General features: G+C 43.2%; 1 protein-coding gene across 3 annotated transcripts in view, besides 1 other annotated feature; it reads left to right on the top strand.

Moving 5' to 3' along the window:
- The window catches only part of GATAD2B (GATA zinc finger domain containing 2B), a 118,248-nt gene that overhangs the window by 33,289 nt on the left and 58,882 nt on the right, over positions 1 to 26,077 (top strand). The window lies entirely within an intron of this gene.
- Positions 8,357 to 8,651: a silencer, noted in NCBI's record as "tiled region #14566; K562 Repressive DNase unmatched - State 14:Gen5'". NCBI's record gives its function as "represses a minimal TATA promoter and a strong SV40 promoter by Sharpr-MPRA in K562 cells {active_cell/tissue: K562}" and the evidence as "EXISTENCE:reporter gene assay evidence [ECO:0000049][PMID:27701403]".

Genomic DNA, 26,077 nt, shown 5'->3' with positions numbered 1-26,077 from the left:
TAACATGTGAGTGTATTTTAAATTTGACGTTCACGCATCTACAACTTTCCTCTTGCCAGCTGTTTCCTTTTATGTTGTCTCCATCTTTCTCATTAGTGTAATTATGAGGGGGGTTAATTGTGTGATTGTCTTGAAATTCCGATAATTGGATGGCTCACAAGTCTACCAAGTTTGAGTGAAGTAAATTCTGAACTTGCCTGCCCAGAGTGATTTATAAATATACATGGTACATTCTTTGTTTTGTGTGTTTTTTTTTTTTTTTTTTTTTTTGGAGACGGGGTTTCGCTCTTGTTGCCCAGGCTGGAGTGCAATGGCACGATCTCGGTTCACCAGAACGTCCGCCTCCTGGGTTCAAGCAATTCTCCTGCCTCAGCCCACCGAGTAGCTGGGATTACAGGGATGTGCCACCACGCCCTGCTAATTTTGTATTTTTAGTAGAGATAGGTTTTTTCCATGTTGGTCAGGCTTGTCTCGAACTCCCGACCTCAGGTGAGCCACCACACCCGGCCTGATACATTCTATTTTTATTCAATAATTAGATCTAGTTCTAGTATAGCCTGTTGAACATAGCAATTCAGTGAGGTGATTATTAAAGTGGAGGGCAAATTAAAAGATTTATGGAAGTCACTGACTGTATGGCTGTGATAACTTACATTTTAGTCTTAGGTTTTCTATTATTACTCCTCATGGTTTGGGGCTCTTAAGTCAGAGATTGAGTAGAACGTCACTATATAGAGGGTAGCTATATATTTTTTTCTTTTTTGCATTGTTTATGATTTCAGAGGATAAAGATAAGAGCAACCTTCACAACAGAAGTGAAAGATGAGAAGCTTAATGTAGAGTAAAATGTCTGAAGCTCTAAGTGAAACTGTTGATAAGCTGGGATTTCTACTCTTGGAACGCTAGAGAGGAAGAGACACTTAGATACTTAGTAACAGCAAAAAGCCAGGCCAAAAAGTAGAACTCAAGTGCTTAGAAACTCTGTGGCAAAAGAGATAAACGTGACTACTAAAACTACTTTCTCTTTCGTCTGTGGCACTTAGTTGATAACAGTTGTTAGCACATTTAGATGTTCAAGTTTAATTTTTGTTGTCAGAAAAGTATGAACATTTGTGACTTGCCTAAAAAGAACTTGGTCCCCCTGCAAAGATAGAGGGAAGGTACAGATCGGAGTGAATGAAAATAATCAGCAATCAAGTATTAAGAAATGAAGTATTTGCACACCTCATCACTGGGAATCAATAGCATGCTGCTGATACAGGATGAGAATAAGTTAGGGATTTAGGACTATTCTAGTTAGGTACTATCTTGTAGACACTACTAGAGATACTTTGTCTTTTGGAAGACAGAAATTATTCTGTAGGTATTAAATACTAATATAATGCTCCATATGATTTTCATGGTTTTTTTTCCAAGGATAGGCAGTGGAATCCCCCAGTTGCCTTAGGAAAATGTATACCACCCTTACAGAAGAGATTGGCCTAGACACATCTTGTGCTGTATGATAAATGAAAAAGTTGATCTGTTTATTTTCTCTGTTCCTGTATGATGATTAAGTCATTGAGTAGTGTATGGCAGTAATTTTTTTTTTTTTTTTGAGATAGAGCCTCACTGTGTTGCCCAGGCTGGAGTGCAGTGGCGCGATCTCAGCTCACTGCAACCTCCGCCTCCCAGGTTCAAGTGATTCTCCTGCCTTAACCTCCTGATTAGCTGGGATTACAGGTGCCTGCCACCATGCCCGGCTAATTTTTGTATTTTTAGTAGAGACAGGGTTTCACCATGTTGGCCACGGTGGTTTCCAACTCCTGTCCTCAAGTGATCCAGCTGCCTTGGCCTCCCAGAGTACTGAGATTACAGGCATGAACCACCACACCCAGCCTGCAGTAATTTTTTATGCTTATTTGCAATACTTGAGTCAATAGAAGTCTTGAAGGCCTCTACAGTTATCTTACTTCCTGTAAACCCATAATGAGTTAACACATTAAGGAATATGCTTTGACTGTGTACAGTGGCACACACCTTAGTCCCAGCCACTGGGACAACACAGCGAAACCTTGTCTCTTTAAAAAAAATAAAATAGGAGTACTACTTTGAGAACAGTACTCCCTAATTTAAATGCTGTCTCAGGACTCGAAGTCTTGTTCTCATTTCTTGTGTCTGTGTTAAGAACTAGTCCATATTCTGCATTATAAGGTAGTGTACCTAGTTTTTACTTTAGCCAAAATTTTGATAAATACATCTTCCCAAATAGTGGTAGACACTTACTTCACTTGTCAATCAATCAGTCATTGATTGGTAACTCCCAAGTGATTGAAAACTGACTTCCCTTGTTAGACTAAACTGCCTTTTTCCAGAGAACTCAGCAGTGCACATTAGGTTGGGTGTGATTCCCAATTTGTGTATCAGGGATTGGGAAAGCAAATGGTTTTCTTTGTATTAGTGCTTGATTGCCTGGTGTGCTATTTCTAAACATGTGGAGAGGAATCCTCATCTCCAAAGAACTGATGTTTTCTTTTGACCAGTTGAGCTATTTTCTGTTTAATGAAGAAAAAATGTAACTTTTTGACCATATGAATGGGGTTTGGCTGTTCTGTGATCTGATTTGTTGTTGTAATAGTAATTTTGAAGCATTGTGGTCTGATTTCTCCAAATAGACTGGACCGACTCAAAGCAGACAGGACTATAAGAAGTAGGAGAGGACTAACAGCTAGATAAACAAATTTTGGCTTGTATTATTGGACACCAGTGAATAATTTTAAGTGTAAGTTAACCATTTAGCCATGTTTCAGCATAATGTTGGCTTTTTAAAAAAACAGCTATTTTTCGGCCAGACGCAGTGGCTCATGCCTGTAATCCCAGTGCTTTGGGAGGCTGAGGTGGGCGGATCATGAGGTCAGAAGATTGAGACCATCCTCGCTAACACAGTGAAACCCCGTCTCTACTAAAAATACGAAAAAAAAAAAAATTAGCCGGGCGTGTTGGCAGGCACCTGTAGTCCCAGCTAGTCGAGAGGCTGAGGTCCCAGCTAGTCGGGAAGCTCAGACAGGAGAATGGCGTGAACCCGGGAGGCAGAGCTTGCACTAAGCTGAGATAGCGCCACTGCACTCCAGCCTGGGCGACAGAGCGAGACTCCGTCTCAAAAAAAAAAAAAAAAAAAAAAAGGAAAACTATTTTTCAGCGTTTGTAATGGTTCTAATACTGATCTGATTGCTGAGTCCAAGGATATACAGTCATGCCTCACGTAATGGTAGTCCCATAAGGTTGTAACATCATACTTTTGCCATACATTTTCTATGTTTAGATATGTTTAAACAAATACTTACCATTGTGTTATAATTGCCAGTATAGTAACAGACTATACTATATAGGTTTATAGCCTAGGAGCAATAGGCTATACCATCTAGGTTTGTTTAAATACACTTTACAATGTTCACACAACGGTGAAATCACCTAATCATGTATTTTTCAGAATGTATCCCTGTTGTTAAGCAACACATAACTGTATGTTAAAATGGGGACAAAGATTTAACAAGTTATTTATAAAATTTGTAAAGGGCAAAGATAACGACTGTTTTTGCCAGTTTATGATATTACTGAGTTTTTGTTAAGTGGTTCTATGAAGTTTACATTTCTTTTGTAGGAGTACCTTTAAGCATTCAGTTGCAATCAATTTGAACTCTGTTGCCTAAGCCTGGATATCACCTCTTTTCTTATGCTATTCTTTGTGATTTGATCCTCCCAGACAGCATTTATCAAATTCTTTTTGTATCTAGGTTGTACATCTTTAGATCTTTAGTCTTCCTTTTTTTTTTTTTTTTTTGGAGACGGAGTCTTGCTCTGTCGCCCAGGCTGGAGAGCAGTGGCGCCGTCTTGGCTCACTGCAAGCTCCGCCTCCTGGGTTCACACCATTCTTCTGCCTCAGCCTCCTGAGTAGCTGGGACTACAGGTGCCCACCACCACGCCCGGCTAATTTTTTTGTCTTTTTAGTAGAGATGGGGTTTCACCATGTTAGCCAGGATGGTCTCAATCTCCTCGTGATCCACCCACCTTGGCCTCCCAAAGTGCTGGGATTACAGGCATGAGCCACCGCGCCCAGCCCACACTCAGCTAGTTTTTGTATTTTTAGTAGAGACGGGGTTTCACCATGTTGGCCAGGCTGGTCTCGAACTCCTAACCTCAGATGATCCACCTGCCTCTGCCTCCCAAAGTGCTAGGATTGCAAGTGTGAGCCACCATGCCCAGCCCCTTTTTTAAAATTTAAATATTTTTCCTTTACTTGTCACTGACTTGAAGCTCATGTCCTTAGCTTTTCAGAAGTAGTCCTGGGTGAAATCATCTATGAGTGGAGATCATACATGTCTGTCAGAGACTTTATGTGTTTTTACTTCCATCATATTTGGCTAATATTTTCTTTAATCCAGTGGGTAAAGTGGAGATTGGCAAGGCAAGCATGGTTACCCTGGAGAACTGGGCTTTTGAGTGCTGAGAAATGCTCAAGGCATCGTGGTATAGTGGAAAGCATATGGGCTTTGGAGCCAGCCTCTAATTGTGAGCTGTATGAGTGACTTCATTTAAGCTTTTTAAAATTTCACTGAATTAATTTCCATATCCAGAAGATGGAGAACAGGGCCGGGCACATTGGCTCACACCTGTAATCTCAGCACTTTGGGAGGCCGAAGCGGGAGGATCTCTTCAGGCCAGTAGTTTGAGACCAGCCTGGCCAACATGGTGAAACCCTGTCTCTACTAAAAATACAAAAATTAGCTGGGTGTGGTGGCAGGCCCGTGTAATCCCAGCTGCTTGGGAGGCTGAGGCAGGAGAATTGCTTCAGCCCGGGAGGCAGAGGTTGCAGTGAGCTGAGATCGCACCATTGCACTCCAGCTGGGCAACGGAGCGAGACTGTCTCGAAAAAAAGAAATAAATAAAAAGAAAATGGAGAAAAGATCCTACCTTCCTGGCTTGGTGCATTAAATGCTCAGTGAATGTAGATCTTTTTCTTAACTTTAGATAATTTGGTATTCTTTAGGGTATCACAACTTGAGTAATATTTACCAAGAGGAAGTTTTTTTGTTTTTGTTTTTGAGATGAAGTCTCACTCTTGTCCCCCAGGCTGGAGTGCAGTGGCACGATCTCGGCTCACTGCAGCGTCATCCTCCCAGGTTCAGACGATTCTCCTGCCTCAGCCTCCCCAGTAGCTGGGATTACAGGCACCTGCCACCATGCCCGGCTAATTTTTTTTTTGAGGTGGAGTCTCGCTCTGTCGCCCAGGCTGGAGTGCAGTGGAGCGATCTCAGCTCACTGCAAGCTCTGCCTCCCGGGTTCAGGCCATTCTCCCGCCTCAGCCTCCGGAGTAGCTGGGACTACAGGCACCCGCCATCACCACGCCTGGCTAATTTTTTTGTATTTTTAGTAGAGACGGGTTTCACCGTGTTAGCCAGAATGGTCTTGATCTCCTGACCTCGTGATCTGCCCGCCTCGGCCTCCCAAAGTGCTGGGATTATAGGCATGAGCCACTGTGCCTGCAACGCCAGGCTAATTTTTGTATTTTTAGTAGAGATGGGGTTTCACCGTGTTGGCCAGGCTGGTGTCGAACTCCGGGCCTCAGGTGGTCTGCCCGCCTCAGCCTCCCAAAGTGCTGGGATTATAGGCGTGAGCCACCACGCCTGGCAAAGAGGAAGTATTTTTAAATTTAGTTTTCACCTCACACAATTAAGTACTTTGGTTTTGGGTGAGTATGATTTAGCTGAAAAGAGTAGGGTCTCTGCCCACTATATAGTTCTTAATTTTCCAAGGCTCTGAAGGTACCTCTGGACTACTAATCAATCCAACATATAGAGGGAGATATAGTAAACGTAGAGTACTGCCTCAGCCTCTACAATGTTGAAGATTTAACTCATGGCAATCAATGGTAATTGCTACAGACAGCTTAATTGTATCTAAGCTTTTTATATTAAAAACTGATAAAAAAGAAAAAAAAAAAAGACCAGTGCAGTCAGATGTATTCAGCAGACTCACGTGGGAATTATCTTTGAATGGGTTGTTAAAAAATAGACAATCATACTTACCATCATCAACATGGAACTAGTGAGCTTCAGTTTAAAATTCATAATTGGTTTCCTGTGGAAATGTGATGAATGAGAAGAAATAATCTATTTTGCTTGCGACATTTATCATGTTTTCCTTTATGTTGTAAAATGATAGCAGTGTCTAGATCTGGATACCTCTGATGGTCTCCTATTAAGAGGACCTTATTGTGACTGAGATAGTACGGTATCAACCACTTGAAGCTCATGTTGTGTTGTAGATAAAGGGTTTTCCTTTGTAGTTTGTAAATTGTTGAATTTCTTATGCCAGTGGCCAGTACTACTTAGTTTTGATTTAGCTCGGTGTTAGTTTTCTGAAAATTGAAGTTAATATTATATGGCTCAGGAAAACTTTTATTTAGAAATAATATTTTTGCGTAGGGTGAAGATTATTTTTCTCCATGTTTGCTAGAAACTTTAATATTTGAGAACAAGGGCTTTGTGAGAGACTCTGATGGAGGCAGTAATTATGATGTGAATTTCAGAGGTCCAAATGAGGCAAGCATTTGGAATGACATATTCATGGGAGATATCAGTTGAAAAGTAAGAAAATCCCTCCCCCCTTGTTATTCCTTGTTACAATTTATAACTAGTTGATCAGATAGAGAAAGATCCTAGAGCAAAGGTCCTCAGCCAATAGATCTCCAAGAAAACAATTACCATTGCCCTTCTTCCTCTTTGGTTTACTTAGATTTCTTCCCCACTATTTTCTGACCCCATATCAGCACTTTGGGGAAGTGAAAAGTCCTTATAAAATGATTGGAACAAGTTGCTCTAAAACAGGAAAGGGAAAGTTAATCAGAGACCAGGCTTAGGTATGTCTAGCATCTGGATTTGTCTATAGAATGACATAGGGATGTGTGTGTGGTAAGTGGGATGTGGTAGGTGAGGAGGTGCTAGAATGCAAAGAGTAAAGTGTTCTAGCTATGACACAGGAAAGTGGAATAATATTGCAATCATACTATGGCTGGGCTTAAAGCATTAAAAAATTTTTAAATTGCAGTAAAATATACATAACAAAGGCCTAAGCTGTTTTTAAAGAATGCATGGGTACTGTCTTGACTACTTTGCTGTGAAACCTTGCTATGCTTTGTGTTAGGTGCGGATTCAGCTGCCCTGAACGGTGTCAATGGATCGGGTTAAATCAGATGTCCTATCTGTGGGACAGCTTCAGGAAAAAAGAAAAATTAGTGAATACACCTGCTGTCTTATTAGTACCTGTTCCCTAGCACTAGCAATAGGGATAAAGAAAAGAAGTTTGGTGGGCAGTATGTCTTCATTTTGTTATAATTTGGGGTGTGCTTTGGTATTGATGCTGTGATTTCCTATCTTGGATGTTGGCTTTGGAAACTAAACAGTTAAAGCATCATGATTTGAGAGGAAACTAGCTCTCATTCATGAAGACAAAGTTTGGCACTAGGCTGCAATGATGGGGGGATAGTTAGGGTGGGGAGACTAACAGACTTTTTTGTACCACAAATGACTTTTAAAAATTAAGAGATAATTCCATGTCCTGAGGTTATAAACCGGCTACAACTGGTTTTTCTCTCCCTCCCTCCTGTCCCCGCTAGGCATCATGGGTAAAAGTAAGCATCCCCCTGTTTCTTTTGTTTAATATAACAGTACACCATGTGATTGGCAGGGCAGTGCCCGCTTGGAGACCGGGTTTGTGCAGGGCTCTCAAGGGGGCTGGCACGCATGGGGGCCACCTCTGTGCTACAGAAAGAGCTTCTCTTACGGTAGAAAAGAGACGATAGAACAGAGAAAGAAAGGGGACCCTCCACACACACACGACCCTCCACACACACACACACACACGAAAAAAACCTAAACCCATCTCATTATTTTCCTCCTTTTTCTGTTCTCTTTCTCTATTTCTTATCTCTCTCACTTTTCTGGAAGCTAGAGGAAGGAACGGAAAAATGTATACCTCTAAGTAGTTTTAACTGTCTTGCCCTCCCCAATCCTTATTTTTCTTTGCTAAAAGCAGAAACTCGAAATCTCTTCTGAGTTCTTTCTAGTAGTTTTTGGCTATGTGTAGAAGGTAATATGCTGAGGTTTCTAATGGGATTGAAGTAATAAACACTGTTGCTTTAAAAAAATTTGTTGCAGAATTATTGTTTCTCATACAAAGCTCCTTTCGGTTTGGATCTTCTTTCCCTCTGCTTCATCCATTTGCTATAATGGTAAGGGTCTCTGGCTTCTAGTTGTCTTCAAGCTGAAGCAATAAGGAGAGTGTTTTATTAAGGTTTTCTCTTTCTCCTTCCTCCCCTTTTTAAAATTTCTTTTGTCTGTAGCAGTGATGGTTCTAGCCTCCCCCTTACCCTCTCTACCCCTCCCCTTTTCCATGTCAGCTCCAACCCTGCTCTGTGAATGGAGTCAACCAGCTGACTGAGTGTTGGCATCATGCCAGGGGCTGCAAAGCAATGAGAATGTGCGCGCGCTCGTGTGTGTAAGTGTATACAGAACACAAAGGGAAAGGCCTGCAGTCTAGGAAATCACAGGCCATTATATAAGGAAGTCTGCGTCATCTCTGCTTGCTTGGGCTGATGGACAAGGAGAGGGAGGGGGGAGGCTTAGAGCAAGAAAAATACCCTTTTGACACATCCACACATACACTTTTTTCCTTGCTGTCTTAGAAAGAAAAAGGTATTTGTGTTGTGGCAAAACGAGAGAGCTTCTGTGTGCAAGTGTTATTGACCATGTTCCTAGTAGAAGTAGTAACTGTCCTGGATCTCCTTTTTTATTTTTTTATTTTTTTGAGACAGGGTCTCTGTCACCCAAGCTGGAGTGCAGTGATGTGATCACGGCTCACTGCAACCTTGACCTCCTGGGTTCAAGCTATCCTCCCAACTCAGCCTCTTGAGTAGCTGGGACTGCAGGCGTGTACCACCACACCTGGCTAATTTTTGTATTTTTTATTGAAATTTGGTCTTCCTGTGTTGTCCAGGCTGGTGGGTCTCTTCTTTCTGTTCCCATTCAAAGGTGTATGTGCTTGAGAAAAGAATGATTAAAAGAGAAATGCCTCCTGGATTTTACAGCTGTAGTTTGTTAAGATACTTAGGGGTGAGGAGCAAGGAGGCAGGGGACAGGCCACATTGTGTGGCTTTTTTGTTTTTTGTTTTTGTTTTTGTTTTTGACAGTCTCACTTGGTAGCCCAGGCTGGAGTGCAGTGGTGTGATCTTTGCTCATTGCAACCCCTGCCTCCCAGGTTCAAGTGATTTTTGTGCCTCTGCCTCCCGAGAAGCTGAGATTACAGGTGCCCACCACCACACCCGGCTAATTTTTGTAATTTTTTTTTAGTAGAGACAGGGTTTCACCATGTTGGTCAGGCTGGTCTCGATCTCCTGACCTCAAGTCATCCACCTGCCTCGGCCCCCACGGTGCTGGAATTACAGGCGTGAGCCACTGCGCTTGGCCGACTGTTTCTAATCATTCAGAATTGCCAAGGGTACAGGGGTGGGTGGGGGAGAGGGGTTGTTCTTAAGGAGAAGCAAAAAGCCAGATAATAGAGCAAGTAATATCTATTAACTACTCATTCGAGACTCCCCCTTCTTTTTTATTTCTTCTTTTCTGTTTAGTATGATATTATCAAAATGCGGTATTCTTTCCCTGCCATCTGCCAGAGTTAGAATTGTACAAAAGGACAGTCAAACAGCACATGGAAGGAAGGAAAAATTAGAGATTGTTCTAAGTGTCCATGCATTGCAAGTGTTACAATTTTGGGGTTCAGTTGTAGTGATTGTGTCTTTCATTGGCAATTAGGGGATCAGCATTCATTTAGAAATTATAATTCTGCTCAGTTTAGTATGATGTCTTTTTTTTTTTTTTTTTTTTTGTAGACAGTGTCTCGCTCTGTTGCCAGGCTGGAGTGCAGTGGCGCATTGTTGGCTCGCTGCAACCTCCGACTCCTGGGTTCAAGCGATTCTCCTGCCTCAGCCTCCTGAGTAGTTGGGACTACAGGCCTGCGCCACCATGCCCAGCTAATTTTTGTATTTTTAGTAGAGACGGGGTTTTTACCATGTTGGCCAGGATGGTCTCGATCTCTTGACCTCATAATCCGCCCGTCTTGACTTCCCATAGTTCTGGGATTACAGGCGTGAGCCACTGCACCCGGCCTGATGTCTTTTCTTAAATTCTCTTTATGTGCCTCCTAGGTGTGATATTTATGAAGCAGCTTTTGTGTTAGGTGAAAATGAGAAAGTATATTAAAGAATAAAGTATGGGGCCGAGAGCGGTGGCTCATGCCTGTAATCCCAGCACTTTGGGAGGCCGAGGTGGGTGGATCACATGAGGTCAGGAGTTTGAGATCAGCCTGGCCAACAAGGTGAAACCCTATCTCTACTAAAAATAAAAAAATTGGCCAGGTGTGGTGGCTCATGCCTGTAATCCCAGCACTTTGGGAGGCTGAGGCGGGCGGATCACGAGGTCAGGAGATAAGAGACGATCCTGGCTAAGACAGTGAAACCCTGTCTTTACTGAAAATACAAAAAATTAGCCGGGCGTGGTGGCTTGCGCCTGTAGTCCCAGCTACTCGGGAGGCTGAGGCAGGAGAATCGCTTGAACCCGGGAGGCGGAGGTTGCAGTGAGCCAAGATCGTACCACTGCACTTTCAGCCTGGGCGACAGAGCAAGACTGTCTCAAGAAAAAAAAAAATTAGCCAGGCATGGTGGTGGGCACCTGTAATCCCAACTACTCGGGAGCCTGAGGCAGAAGAATTTCTTGAACCTGGGAGGTGGAGGTTGCAGTGAGCCTAGATTGCACCACTGCACTCCAGCCTGGGCGACACAGCAATACTCTGTCTCAAAAAAAAAAAAAAAAAAAAAGGAATAAAGTATGGGTCACACTGTTACAGTTGGTTTTATGTGAGTTTATTTTTGCTTCTGACCATTCAGAATAACAGCACTGATGGGGAGAGTTGGGAATGAGAGGGAACTTTCAAACTCGTTAATCCTGTAGTAAGAGTTTTTATCAGGTTGCAGTCTAGAGGAAATTCCTTAATTTGATTGGGAACTTGTATATTTTTGTTAAAGCCTGTAAATTTCTCTTCTTGCCACATCTTTACAAGCAATAGTCTTTGAACGTCTGTATTTTTTGGTGTTAATATCTGTGCTTTTTTTCCTTTTGTTAGGAAGTGAATATGAGGTTATTACTTTCTTTAAGGATTGTAGGATGAGCTGGTCACAGTGGCTCACAGCCGTAATCCCAGCACCTTGGGAGACCATCGCAGAATTGCTTGAGCTCAGGAGTTTGAGACCAGCCTGGGCAACATAGGGAGATTCCATCTTTACAAAAAATTAGTCGTGGCATGTGCCTGTGGTCCTAGCTACTCGGGAGGCTGGGGTGGGAGGCTGCAGTGAGCCATGATTGCACCACTGCACTCTAGCCTGGAAAACAAAGTGAGACCCTGTCTCAAAAAAAAAAGAAAAAAAAAAAAAGATTGCAGGATGGGACCTACCACAATGGTTGTTCTGCTTATTCCCCAGGCTGCCTGCAATTATTTCCCCACCCCAAGGAGCTGGAGCCTACTTTTCTAAGTCCCTTTATAAGTAAACTAAGGAGTATTATTTCCTAGTCTGTTGAGTACTGAAAGACAAAATAGCAACAGACCAAACTTGCTACAACCTAGAGGCTAGGTAAAGATTCATTCATTGTTGTTGTGGGATTACCTAGTTCTTAGAAGTAATAATTACCCTTTTTTTTTTTTTTTTTTAAGTTTTTTTGAGATGGAGTCTCACTCTGTTGCCCAGGCTGGAGTGCAGTGGCATGATCTCAGCTCACTGCAGCCTCTGCCTCCTGGATTCAAGTGATCCTCCCACCTCAGCCTCCCAGGTAGCTGGGATTATAAGCATGTGCCACCACACCCGGCTAATTTTCGTATTTTTAGTAGAGACGAGGTTTCACCATGTTGGTCAGGCTGGTCTGGAACTCTTGAGCTCAAGCAGTTGCCCCACCTCAGCCTCCCAAAGTGCTGGGATTACAGGCATGAGCCACCATGTCCAGCTATATCCTTTATTTTTACCTTTTCTCTTGATGTTAGGAGCCAGATTAGTGAGGATAATCTTAGTGATTATGTAGTCATAATCAGCAAGGCATAAACCAGTACCTTCTCTTAAAGGATAGATGAGAAATTTTTTTTTTTTTCTTAACTCTCATAGGCCTTAATTGCTGTTTTGGAGTGGCTGAAGAGTAATTTTGAAGTGTATGTGAAATCTGCCCTTTGGCCACGTCTGTCCCTTTAATTCTATTTATTTATTAGAGACAGGGTCTCACTCTGTTGCCCAGGCTGGAGTGCAGTAGTGTGATCATAGCACACTGCAGCCTTGAACTCCTGGGCTCAAGTGATCCTTTTGCCCCAGCCTCCCAAGTAGCTAGGACTGACTATAGGCATGTCACCATGCCTGGCTAATTTCATTATTATTATTTTTGGTAGAGACAGAGGCTCACTGTTTTTCCCAGGCTGGTCTCAAACTCCTGGCCTTAAGCAGTCCTTCTGCCTTAGCCCCCCAAAGTGCTGGGATTATAGGCATGGGCCAATGCAAAGAACCTTTCACTCTAATACTGCCTGTTCTTCTTTTCTTTTTTGAGGCGGAGTCTCGCCTTTCACCCAGGCTGGAGTGAAGTGGCACGATCTTGGCTCACTGTAACCTCCACCCGCCGCCCTCCCCTCACCAGGTTCGAGTGATTCTCCTGCCTCAGCCTCCCGAGTAGCTGAAATTACAGGCGCCTGCCACCATGCCCAGCTAATTTTTGTATTTTTAGTAGAGACGGGGTTTCACCATGTTGGCCAGGCTGGTCTCAAACTCCTGTCCTCAGGTGATCTGCCCGCCTTGGCCTCCCAAAGTATTGGGATTATAGGCATGAGCCACCGCCCTGACCTCTCATATCACCTTTTCTAAATGATTGTCTGGCACATTTGCTTTCGTGTATGTCAGAACTTCTGTGCTGATTTGTAAGGTGACAGTAGGAGAAAGCTGTTTACCTCCTGTTCATTACCTCTAGGCAGCACACTCTAACTTGTCACATTTAAGCATAGCGACCTTTACAATCCTTGGTGCATATTACTGAGCAGTATGTTACCCACTGCAAGGTCATCTAGGCTCTTTCTTTCAAGAATGTGAGCCAAAGGTTTGTGTAGTAAACTCAGTGATACAGAAAAGACACTGTAAGAGCATGTAAACAGTAATAGTCTTTCATAAGAATTACTCTCTTACCAGTCTGGTTGGATCGGAAACCAAAAATGACAATATAGATAGCATAGTACGATGGTTAAGGACATTGACTCAGGTAAGACAGTCCTGTGTTTTAACCACGCCCAGCCATTTAAGGACTGTGAAATCTTTTTTTTTTTTTTTTTTTTTTTTTTTTTTTTTGAGACGAAGTCTCACTGTGTTGCCCAGGCTGGAGTGTAGTGGCGCGATCTCAGCTCACTGCAGTCTCCGCCTCCCGGGTTCAAGCGATTCTCCTGCCTCAGCCTACTGAGTAGCTGGGACTACAGGCATGCGCCACCACACCCAGCTAATTTTTGTATTTTTTAGTAGAGGCGGGGTTTCACCATATTGGCCACGCTGATCTGGAACTCCTGACCTCATGATCCGCCTGCTTTGGCCTCTCAAAGTGCTGGGATTACAGGCATGAGCCACTGTGCCTGGCCTGGACTGTGAAATCGTATGAAGTTACTCAGTTTATCTGTTTTTCTTTTCTCTCTAACAGGAGGATAATTATATCTCCAGAGGTTCTAAATGAGATAATGCATTGTGAAGCACTTTAGCGCAATGCCTAGCACATAGTAAGAGCTCAGTGAATGTTAGCAAGATAGATATTCCTGTCTGTTGGGTTTGTTTATACTATTTTCATTGTTCTTACTAGTTTATTTTAGCCAGCTTGTGGCTACCTTTTTTTTTTTTTTTTTTTTTTCCCTCCAAACTCGTGGTAGGTCTATTGACCTGTATCAAGATCAGGAGTCAGCAAACTATAGCTGCTGCTTGTTTTGGTAAATGAAATTTTGTTGAAACACAGCCACACCCACTTGCTTACAAAAGCAGAGTTTAGTACTTGCCCCACAAAGTCTAAAATGTTATTATCTGGTCCTTTACAGAAGAAGTTTGTAAGAACCGCATGGTATAGATCAAGCTTGTCTAACCTGCAACTCTTGGGCTGCATGCGGCCCAGGACAGCTTTGAATGCAGCTCAATACAAATTCAGAAACTTTCTTAAAACATGAGATTTTTTTTTTCTTCCAGCTCATCAGCTATCTTTAGTGTTAGTGTATTTTATGTGTGGCCCAAGACAGTTCTTCCATTGTGGCCCAGGGAAGCCAAAAGGTTGGATGCCCCTGGTCTAATCAAGAGTCTTTTTTTCCTAGAAAAGTGACCTATGAAGCAAGTTCTAGAAATCAGAAGAGAAATAATGAGACTAAATTTGGCTGGGCGTGGTGGCTTACACCTGTAATTCCAGCACTTTGGGAGGCCTAGGCAAGAGGATCACTTGAGCCCAGGAGCTTGAGACCAGCCTGGTCAACACAACAAGACCCCATCTTTGCTTACAAGAAAAAATGCTGGGCATGGTGGCATGTCCCTGTAGTCCCAGTTAGTTGGGAGGCTGAGGTGGGAAGATTGATTGAGCCTGGGAGTTTGAGGCTGCAGTGAACCATGAGCTGTGATGGAGCCACTGTGCTCCAGCCTGGGTGACAGAACAAGACCCTGTTTCAAAAATAAATAAATAGGCTGGATGTGGTGGCTCACACCTGTAATCTCAGCACTTTGGGGGGCCAAGGCGAGTGGATCACCTGATGTCTGGAGTTCAAGACCAGTCTGAGCAATATGATGAAACCCTGTCTCTACTAAAAATACAAAAATTAGCTGGGCATGATGGCATGCACCTGTAGTCCCAGCTACTTGGGAGACTGAGACAGGAGAATTGCTTGAACCTGGGAGGTGGAGGTTGCAGTAAGCCGAGATCGCGCCACTGCACTCCAGCCTGGGTGACAGAGGGAAACTCCGTCTCAAAAACAAAAACAACAAAAAAACCCCAAAAATAGATAAATAAAAATTTAAAAATAGACTAGACTTACATGGACTAGAAGGAATTAATCATTTCAGATTTTTAGGAATAGGATTTTGAAGAAGGGAGGGTCTATTGACATGGCTAATAAGCATTAGGTGAAGGAAAGTACCGTTTGAAGTTGGTTAGGCAGTAACAGCACTTATTTTTAATCTCTTAGGGGCACTTCATAGTAGTGTGTTGTCTTAGTCCATTTTCTGTTGCTATAACCTGAGACTGGGTAATTTATAAAGAAAATAAATAAATTTCTTTCCCTCTCTCTTTTTTTTTTCTTTTGAGACGGAGTGTTGCTCTGTCTCCCAGGCTGGAGTGCAGTGGCACTATCTCAGCTCATTGCAACCTCTGCCTCCTGGGTTCAAGCGATTCTCCTGCCTCAGCCTCCCAAGTAGCTGGGACTACAGGCACACGCCACCACACCCAGCTAATTTTTGTATTTTTAGTAGAGATGGGATTTCACCATGTTGGCCAGGATGGTCTCAGACGATCTCTTGACCTCATGATCCACCCTCCTCGGCCTCCCAAAGTGCTGAGATTATAGGCATGAGCCACCGCACCCGGTCCCCTCCCTACCTTTCTTTCTTTCCTCTTTCCTTTTTATTTATTCTCTGTCACCCAGGCTGGAGTGCAGTTGTGCAGTCATAGCTTATTGTAGCCTTGAACTCCTAGGCTCAAGCAGTCCTCCTGCCTCAGCCTCTCAAGTAGCTAGGACTACAGGCATGTGCCTTTGCACCCAGCTAAATTGCTTTAAAAATGTTTTGTAGAGATGGGGTCTCACTATGTTGCCTAGGCTGGAGTGGAGCTCCTGTACTCAAGCAATATATCCACCTTGGCCTCTCAAAAGTGCTGGGATTACAGGCATGAGCCACCATGACCAGCCCCAAGAAATTTATTTCTCACGGCTCTGGAGGCTGGAAAGTCCAGGGTCAAGGGGCCATATCTGCTGAGGGCCTTCTTGCTGGTGGGGACCTTGCAGAGTTCCAGAGTGGCACAGGGCATCACATGGTGAGGGGACTAACGAGAGACAGCCACATTGGCTTTTATTACAGACCCACTCTTGTGCTAACTAGCCCCTTCTCTGAATAACCCATTAATCTGAGAATGGCTCAAGCACTTCCTAAAGGTCTCGCCTCTTAACACGCCTGCATTGGGCACCAAGTATCCAACAGATGAACTTCTGGGGGACACATTCAAATCGTTGCGGGGTATTAAAGCGAAGTACAAAGAAGAGAGATTTGCTGTCAAGTAGTTTGCATTAAACTTGGAAATAAATATGAATTGGTAGGTTACCTATTAAACAAGTGTGTTAGAGTAGCCTAGCAGTTTTCAAAGTGTAGTCTGTGGAATCCTAGAGAATAGACTCCTTTCATGGAGTCTGTGAGATCAGAATAGTTTCATAATAATACTAAGTCATCATTTGCCTTCTTCCCTGTGTTAACATTTGCAGTGATATCCAAAAGCAATGCTGATTAAAACGTTAGGGTAACCCTGAGCAATAGCACCAAACTAGTAGCAGGCATTGTGTTCTTTATTGTCATGCAGTTTAAATTTGCAGTAAAAAAAAAAAAGTTTCATTTAAGAATGTTCTTGATGAAGCAGTAAAAATTAATTTTATTTAATCTTGACCTTTTAGTACTTGGCTTTTGAATATTTTGTGTGATAAAATGGGAAGTACTCAAAAAACACTTCTGTTATATATTGAAGTACTGTGGTTGTCTAAGGAAAAGTACTTTTACAGTTATTTGGGTTTCCAGCTAACTAGTTGTCTTCTTCATAGAACAGCATTTTTACTTGATGAAAGAATAACCAACAAAGTACGTTATTTAGACTTGGGTATTTGGCAGATGCTTTCTTGAAAATTTTCAAGGAAAACAACTATTTTTGCCCAGTGATAAAATTAAAGCAAAAATGAGAATTTTGGAAAGTTTATATACTCCACCATGAGACGGTCCACTTCCCAGTTAGTTTTGTGGGGTTTTTTTTTTTTGATATTATGTAATATGTCAACCTTCGAAAGAGCTGCATGACTTAGTGAACTAGAAGTTTTCACATGACCAATATATTATGTGACAAAATCAGATTTGGTGAGAGATCCACTCAAAGTATAAAGTAGACCAATGTATTTTAATGTAATAATACAAAAGTTCATTGATAGGGTTTCAGAGTTCACATTTGCTGCTAACCTTTAGAAATTACTGGGTTGCTTTTTTTTTTTTTTTTTTTTGGAGACAGAGTCCTCTGTCACCCAGGTTGGAGTGCAGAGGCGGGATCTCAGCTCACTGCAACCTCTGCCTCCCGGGTTCAAGTGATTCTCCTGCCTCAGCTTCCCAAATAGCTGGGATTACAGGCACACGCTACCACACCCAGCTACTTTTTCATATGTTTAGTAGAGATGGGGTTTCACCATGTTGTTCAGGCTGGTCTCGAACTCTTGGCCTCAAGTGATCCGCCTACCGCAGCCTCTCAAAGTGCTGGGATTACAGGCATGAGCCACCGCGCCTAGCCTAGGTTGCTTTTTAAAAATTAAGTTAAATTTCACATAAACATCAAATTAACTTTTATTTATTAATTTACTAATTAATTTATTTTTTGAGACAGGGTCTCACTTTCTCACCCAGGCTGGAGTGCAGTGACACGATCTCAGCTCACTGCAGCCTTGACCTACTGGGTTCAAGTGATCCTCCTGCCTCAGCCCCCCAAGTAGTTGGGACTACAGGCACGGGCCACCATGCCCTGCTAAAGAATTAACCATTTAAAAGTGTACAATTCAGGCTGGGCACGGTGTCTCATGCCTGTAATCCCAGCACCTTGGGAGGCTGAAGTGGGCGGATCACTTGAGGCCAGGAGGTCGAGACCAGCCTGCCCAACATGGTAAAACCCGTCTCTACTAAAAATACAAAAATTAGCCAGACTTAGCAGTGCATACCTGTAGTCCCAGCTGCTCGGGAGGCTGAGGCAGGAGAATTGCTTCAGTAATATCAAGGAAAATATCCACGATTCTAATAAATTTAAGAGGCTGTTAAAAATGCCTCTTTCTCTGGCTGGGTACAGTGGCTTACACCTGTAATCCCAGCACTTTGGAAGGCCAAGGCAGATGGATCACTAGGTCAGGAGTTTGAGACCAGCCTGGCCAACATGGCAAACCCCATCTCTACTAAAAATACAAAAAAACAAGTGGCCGGGTGTGGTCGCTCACGCCTGTAATCCCAGCACTTTGGGAGACTGAGGTGGGCAGATCACAAGGTCAGGAGTTTGAGACCAGCCTGCCTGACATAGTGAAACCCCGTCTCTATTAAAAATAGAAAAATTAGCCGGGCATGGTGGTGCTCACCTGTAGTCCCAGCTACTTGGGAGGCTGAGGCAAGAGAATCACTTGAACCCGGGAGGCAGAGGTTGTGGTGAGCCGAGATCGCGCCACTGCACTCCAGCCTGGGCAACAGAGCGAGACTGTCTCAAAAAAAAACAAAAAACAAAAAACACCAGGCGTGGTAGCACCCATCTGTAATCCCAGCTACTCCAGAGGCTGAGGCAAGAGGGGAGGCAGAGGTTGCAGTGAGCCAAGATCGTGCCACTGCACTCCAGCCTGGGCGACAGAGCAAGACTCCGTCTTGGGGAAAAACAAAAAAAACCTCTCTCTAGTATCAGTATGAAATAATGGGTTCTCATATATACACATATACACAGGTTTGAGTATCCCTTATCTAAAATGCCTGAAACCAGAAGTGTTTCCAATGTTGGATTTTTTTGGATTTTGGGATATTTCTGTATACATAATGAGGTATCATGGGGGTGAGACTCAAGCCTAAACACAAAATTGATTTGTTTCATATATACCTTAAACATATAGCTTGAAGGTCATTTTATAACAACATTTTGTGCATAAAGCAAAGTTTTGACTGCATTTGACAGCATTTTGATGTGGAATTTTTTTCACATTTTGAAGTACTTTGGATTTTTTCCTTTTTTTTGAGACGGAGTCTGGCTCTGTCACCCAGGCTGGAGTGCAGTGACGCGATCTCTGCTCACTGCAAGCTCTGCCTCCTGGGTTCACGCCATTCTCCTGCCTCAGCCTCCTGAGTAGCTGAGACTATAGGTGCCCGCCACCACGTCCGGCTAATTTTTTAAATTTTTTTAGTAGAGACGGGGTTTCACTGTGTTAGCCAGGATGGTTTCGATCTCCTGACCTCGTGATTCTGCCCGCCTTGGCCTCCCATAGTGCTGGAATTACAGGCGTGAGCCACTGTGCCTGGCCGGATTTTTTCCTTTTTTTAGTAAAAAGTAGAGACAGGGTGACCAGGTACAGTGGCTCATGCTTGCAATCCCAGCACTTTGGAGGCCGAGGCAGGTGGATCTTTTGAGGCCAGGAGTTCGAGACCAGCCTGGCCAACATGATGAAACCCTATCTCTACTAAAAATACAAAACATTAGCGCTGGGCATAGTGGCAGGCCTTTGTAATCCCAGCTACTCAGAAGGCTGAGGCAGGAGAATTGCTGCTGGAATCTGGGAGGCAGAGGTTGCAGTGAGCCGAGATTGTGCCTGGATGACAGAGCCAGACTTCATCTCAAAAAAAGGAAAATGTAGAGACAGGGTTTTGCCATGTTGTTCCAGCTGGTCTTGAACTCCTGGGCTCAAGGCATCTGCCGCCTCAGCCTCCCAAAGTGCTGGGATTATAGGTGTGAGTCACCACACCTGGCCCAATTTGGATTTTCTGATGAGGGATCTTCAAGTGGTACACACATATGCAAATATAGATATAGAAAAAGATATGGATGTTACGTGTGTATGCATGCATTTTATTTCCTTTTCTGAAAGGGCCTGGAAGTAGTGACACCACCTAGCAGTGAGCACACCTGACACCAGATCTTGGTTTCGCAACACCATTCTCCAATAAGAGGAACCAGAGCTGCTTGGAGACATGGCTAGGGCAGATAAAAAAAGATGATGAACCTGGAACATCGTGTGGATACCAGAAGCTAATAAATTGCCAAAAAAGTAATAGAGAACCAGCTTGAAGGAGCTTTCAATGGCCAGATCTGGGACAGTTTGAAAAACAAATAATGATAAATAGATTATAACCCATGGGGTAAAATAAATATCCATAAGTTTATGCTGCTATAAATAAATATGGGAAAGAAAACAATTGTTTTCTGCAGTGAAACTCAAGTTGATAAATAGAAAAGGAATAATGGAAACATTAGGCAAATACTACAGTATTTGTTGCAGGCAAGAGTTGTCTTTTTTTTTTTTTGAGATATAGTCTTGCTCTGTCGCCTGGGCTGTAGTGCAGTGGCACTATCTTGGCTCACTGCAACCTCTGCCTCCCGGGTTCAAGTGATTCTTCCGGCTCAGCCTCTCAAGTAGCTGGGACTACAGGCACCCACCATCATGCCTGGCTAACTTTTGTATTTTTGTAGAGAGGGGGTTTCACCATGTTGGTCAGGCTGGTCTTGAACTCTTGACCTCAGGTGATCTGCCTGCCTTGACCTCCCAAAGTGCTGGGATTACAGGCGTGAGCCACTGTGCCCAGCAAGAATTGTCTTTGTATGCTAAAATTAATATGTGGAATTTTGATTGGAGATGGGATATTTACACAGTGGCTTCTAAGTATCTTGGCTTCGTCTCTACTAAAAATACGAAACTAGCCAGGTGTGATGGTGCGTGCCTGTAGTCCTAGCTACTCGGGAGGCTGAGGCAGGAGAATGGCTTGAACCCAGGAGGGGAGGCTGCAGTGAGCCAAGATGGTGCCACTGCACTCCACCCTGGGTGACGGAGCAAGAATCTCTCAAAAAAAAAAAAAAAAAGTATATAGTATATATATTAGTGGGAAAACTGGTGACATGTGAATAAGATCTGTAGAGTAGTTAATAAACACTATTGTTTCCTGGTTTCAATAATTGTACTGTGTTTATATGTTAACATTTAGGGGAGCAGGGTGAAGAATATTTGAAACTTCTGTAAGTCTAAAATTATTTCAGAACTTAGTTTTAAAACATAAGTTTATTAAAGACTTTAAATTTTTTAAAAAAGAACTCCTACCTTCCTGTGTATCTGTGTGAGACCACATCCACCCCCACCCCGTCCCCCATGCTGTTAACTAGAACAACATCACTGCACATTGAATGCAGAGGCAGCTATGAGAATCCAGCTGTCTGCTATTAAGCCAGACATTAAAGAGATTTGTAAAAATATAAAACAAGGCCACTTTTCTCACTAAATTGTTCTGTTATTTTGGAAAATATTTTTCATAAAGAAGTTATGTTAACATGGAATGGGTTTATTTTTAAATGCATTAATAATTTTAAAATTTTTATTTTCTTTTATTTATTTATTTTTTTTTGAGATGGAGTCTGCCTCTGTCCACCCAGTCTAGAGTGCAGTGGCACGATCTCAGCTCAATGCAACCTCCTCCCTCCCGGGTTCGAGCAGTTCTTCTGCCTCAGCCTCCTGAGTAGCTGGGACTACAGGTGTGCACCACCACGCCTGGCTAATTTTTGTACTTTTTAAGTAAAGACGGGGTTTCACCATATTGGCCAGGCTGGTCTTGAACTCCTGACCTCAGGTGATCTGCCCACCTCAGCCTCCCAGAGTGCTGGGATTATAGGCGTGAGCCACTGTGCCTGGCCTAAAATTTTATTTTAATTCTGTTTCTAATATGGTGACTCTTTTTTTTGTTGTTTTTTGAGACGGAGTCTCACTCTGTCGCCAAGGATGGAGTGCAGTGGCACCGTGTTGGCTCACTGCAACCTCTGTCTCCTGGGTTCAAGCAATTCTCCTGCCTCAGCCTCCTGAGTAGTTAAGATTACAGATGCTCACCACCATGCCCGGCTTGTATTTATATTTTTAGTAGAAACAGGGTTTCACCATGTTGGCCATGGTGGTCTTGAACTCCTGACCTCAGGTGATCCACCCGCCTCAGCCTCCCAAAGTGCTGGGATTACAGGCTCACGTGAGCCACCGCGCCTGGCCTCTTATGTGACTCTTTTAGTTACTGCTCTCTTTGGGGTCCTTGATTTTATTTATTTATTTATTTAGAGACAGGGTCTTGCTCTGTCACCCAAGCTGGAGTACAATGGTGCAATCATAGCTCACTGTGACCTCAAACTCCTGAGTCCAGACACTCCTCTTGCCTCAGCCTCCCAAGCGGGTGTCTTCCATAATCATTCATGTCAGATTATTTTCTCTGATTTGCCAAATTTATTTCTAACCTCCTGGTTGCTAACCTTGCCAGATATATTGTAGTATAATAAGCAGTTTGGGGTCTGATATGTTCTGTTTGTTTCTGTCATGTAAGGAGATCAGTGTGGTTTCTTTTGGTTCTATGTTATCTAAGTCTCCTCTTAGAAATAGTAGCGTTCCCATACCACACCGAGGTGTGCTCTTCTCAAGCCCTTGTCCATACCCTTTTCCATTCTGACAGTTAATTCCAACCTCTAAGGTAATCCTATAAAATGGTATATTGGAGGCCAGGTGGCGGTGGCTTGAGTCTGTAATACCAGCACTTTGGGAGACTGAGGCAGGCAGATCACTAGATCAGGAGATCAAGACCATCCTGACCAACATGGTGAAACCCCGTTTCTACTAAAAGTACAAAAATCAGCTGGTGTGGTGGTGTGCGCCTATAATCCCAGCTACTTAGGAGGCTGAGGCAGGAGAATCTATTGAACCCGGGAGGCGGAGATTGCAGTGGCTGAGATTGTGCCACTGCACTCCAGCCTGGCGACAGAGCAAGACTCCGTCTCAAAACAAAACAAAACAAAACAAGGTACATTGGAAATAATTTCACTTCTTTGTAGCATCAAAAATGAAACCTTTTCTGTACCCATTCTGCTTTTCTTTAGGGCCTTTTACCCCCATTTGAGGAATTTGCAGTTTGGTTTGTGTGTGTGTATAAATTCATTAGGAAACTGAAATGGAGAGGTTATATCCTTGGGAAGTGCAGAATAATTACTGGGATTGATTGATAATAGGAAGCATTAGATAGCTTGGAACGAGCTCAGCCATCTGGTTTGCATTAGGGCAGGTTGGAGATGGTGCAAGACCATTGCTATGTGATTTTTGCCAGAAACTGAAAGTGCATTTTGTTTACAGTTTAGAAGACAAATCGTCTTTCATTCACCTGTACAGTTGTAAGTAGAGGACACAGGCCCACTAATCTCAGAAGCTTGGTTGAGAAATAATTTATTTGGATCATTATTTGCTCTTTTAAAATACATGAATTGTCATTAGAGAATATAGCTAGGCTGCTACTGGATTAGCTATACTTATAACATTCTCACCTCTCTATTATGACTAATTTAGTGTACAGAGCTATGAATTTTTTTTTTTTTTTTTTTTTTTGAGACCTAGTGTCACTCTGTTGCCAGGCTGGAGTGCAGTGGCACCATCTCAGCTCACTGCAACCTCCGCCTCCCAAGTTCAAGCGATTGTTCTGCCTCTGTCTCCTGAGTAGCTGGGATTACAGCTGTGTGCCACCACACATGGCTAAGTTTTGTATTTTTGTATAGACAGGGTTTGACCATGTTGGCCAGGCTGGTCTTGAACTCCTGACTTCAGATGATCCGTCCGCCTCAGCCTCCCAAAGTGATGGGATTACAGGCATGAGCCACTGTGCCCGGCCTCAAACTTCTGGGCTCAAGCGATCTACCCACCTCAGCTTCCCTAAATGCTGGGGTTACAAGTGTGTGCCACTGCACCCCGTTGAGACCGTTCTAAGGTTTAAATCATTGCTCTTTCCCTGTCATGTCCACCTCTCAGCTCTTGTTTCTCTAAAGAGCAAAATGTGGTTACCCTTATAGGCTGCTGAATTCAAATTGCCTCTGGTATTTTTAGTCTGATTATGAGAATAATCTGGTAAATACTTGGTTTATATATGTGCTAGTGTTTTTATATGTTATTCTTATGGCAGACAATAATTGATTAAAAGTCTTTACTTATGTAACAGAATGTTCCACGTCATCACCATCGGTAAAATGTAGTTGGCATTGGAATTGAAAGCCACTTACCATCCTTGGTGTGGTAGAAGGGGAGTGTCCTGGTCATTAGAATTAGATGTAGATTTTTTTTTAAATTATTTGTTTTTGAGATGGAGTCTCACTCTGTCACCTAGGCTGGAGTGCAGTGGCACGATCTCAGCTCACTGCAACCTCCGCCTCCCATGTTCAAGCGATTCTCCTGCCTCAGCCTCTTAAGTAGGTGGGACTACAGGCACGTGCTACCACGTCCAGAAAATTTTTGTATTTTTTAGTAGAGACGGGGTTTCACCATGTTGGCCAGGCTGGTCTCGAACTCCTGACTTCAGGTGATCCACCCGCCTTGGCCTACCATAGTGCTGGGATTATAGGCGTGAGCCACTGTGCCTGGCCAGAATTAGACGTAGATTTTAATCATGACTTTCCTATTTGTTGTGTTTCTTGGACAGGTTTATACTAAATAAGAAATTATGTAGTATACTAAATAATACTATTTTTTTTGAAATGGAGTGTCTCTCTGTCACCCAGGCTGGAGTGCAGTGGCGGGATCTCGGCTTACCGCAACCTCCGCCTCCCAGGTTCAAGCAATTCTCCTGTCACAGCCTCCCAAATAGCTGGGACTACAGGCACACGCCACTGTGCCCAGCTGATTTTTTGTGTTTTTAGTGGAGACAGGGTTTCACTATGTTGACCTGGCTGGTCTCGAACTCCTGACCTCAAGTGATCCGCCCACCTCAGCCACCCAAAGTGTTGGGATTACAGGCATGAGCCACTGTGCCTGGCTGTATTTAGTATTTCTGAGTCTCAGTTTTTTCATTCATAGAATGGGTATAATATGGACTTCATAGGAATGTTCTGAGAATTAGATACTTGGTTTTTTGTTGTTGCTTTCTTTCTTTCCTTTTCCTCCCTCCCTCTCTTTCATCTCTTTCTTTTCTTCTTCTCTTTCTTTCTTTCACAGGGTTTTGCTTTGTCACCCAAGCTAGACTGCAGTGGCACAATCATAGCTCACTGAAGCCTCGACCTCCTAGGTTTAATTGATCCTCCTGTCTCAGCATTCCAAGTAGCTGGGACTATAGGCATGCGCCATTGTACTCAGCTAATTTTTAAATTTTTTGTAGAGACAAGGTCTCCCTATATTGCCCAGGTTGGTCTAGCATTTCTGAGCTTAGGCTCTCCTCCCGCCTCCACCTCCCAAAGTGCTGAAATTACACATGTGAACCTAAATACTGTTTTTTTGGTTCTTAGCTCTCACCATTCCGATAATCAGCATTCATTCAGATGTTAATCCTTCTCCTGTATCCCCTCTCACCAAGCCCCCAATACATACCTTGTTACTTGTCTTCCTTTTGGAGTGCACTTTCTCCCAACTGTCCTCAGACTTGTGTGATGAATGTATCACTTACAACATGTTTTGTCTGGGAAGAAGAGGCTCTCAAGTATGTGTGTGTGTACAAATTTGAGATCATGCTTTTCAGAGCATTGTGAAGGATCTCTGTTCAAAACTCTGCTCCCCTAGTGCCTATTATTATTACTTCCATGGTATAAAGGATAAAAAGAATTTTTTGTTTTTCTTTCATATAAAAAATATTCCTAAGGAAAGCCTACATCCGTTCTACTTTGCATGAAGAAAAACAGGATTTTTAGGCCGGGCGTGGTGGCTCATAACCTGTAATCCCAGCACTTTGTGAGATCGAGGCAGGTGGATCACAAGGTCAAGAGATCAAGGCCATCCTGGCCAACATGGTGAAACCTTGTCTCTACTAAAAATACAAAAAAATTACCCAGGCATTGTGGCACGTGCCTGTAGTCCCAGCTACTCAGGAGGCTGAGGCAGGAGAATTGCTTGAACTTGGGAGGCGGAGGTTGCACTGAGCCAAGATCGCACAGCTGCACTCCAGCCTGAAGACAGAGCGAGACTCTGTCTTGGAAAAAAAAAAGAAAAACAGAATTTTTATAGATGA

Source organism: Homo sapiens, chromosome 1, assembly GCF_000001405.40.
Source record: "Homo sapiens chromosome 1, GRCh38.p14 Primary Assembly".
Classification (NCBI taxonomy): domain Eukaryota; kingdom Metazoa; phylum Chordata; class Mammalia; order Primates; family Hominidae; genus Homo; species Homo sapiens.
Note: the sequence above shows the minus strand (reverse complement) of the source record. Positions and strands in the feature narration are given on the sequence as shown.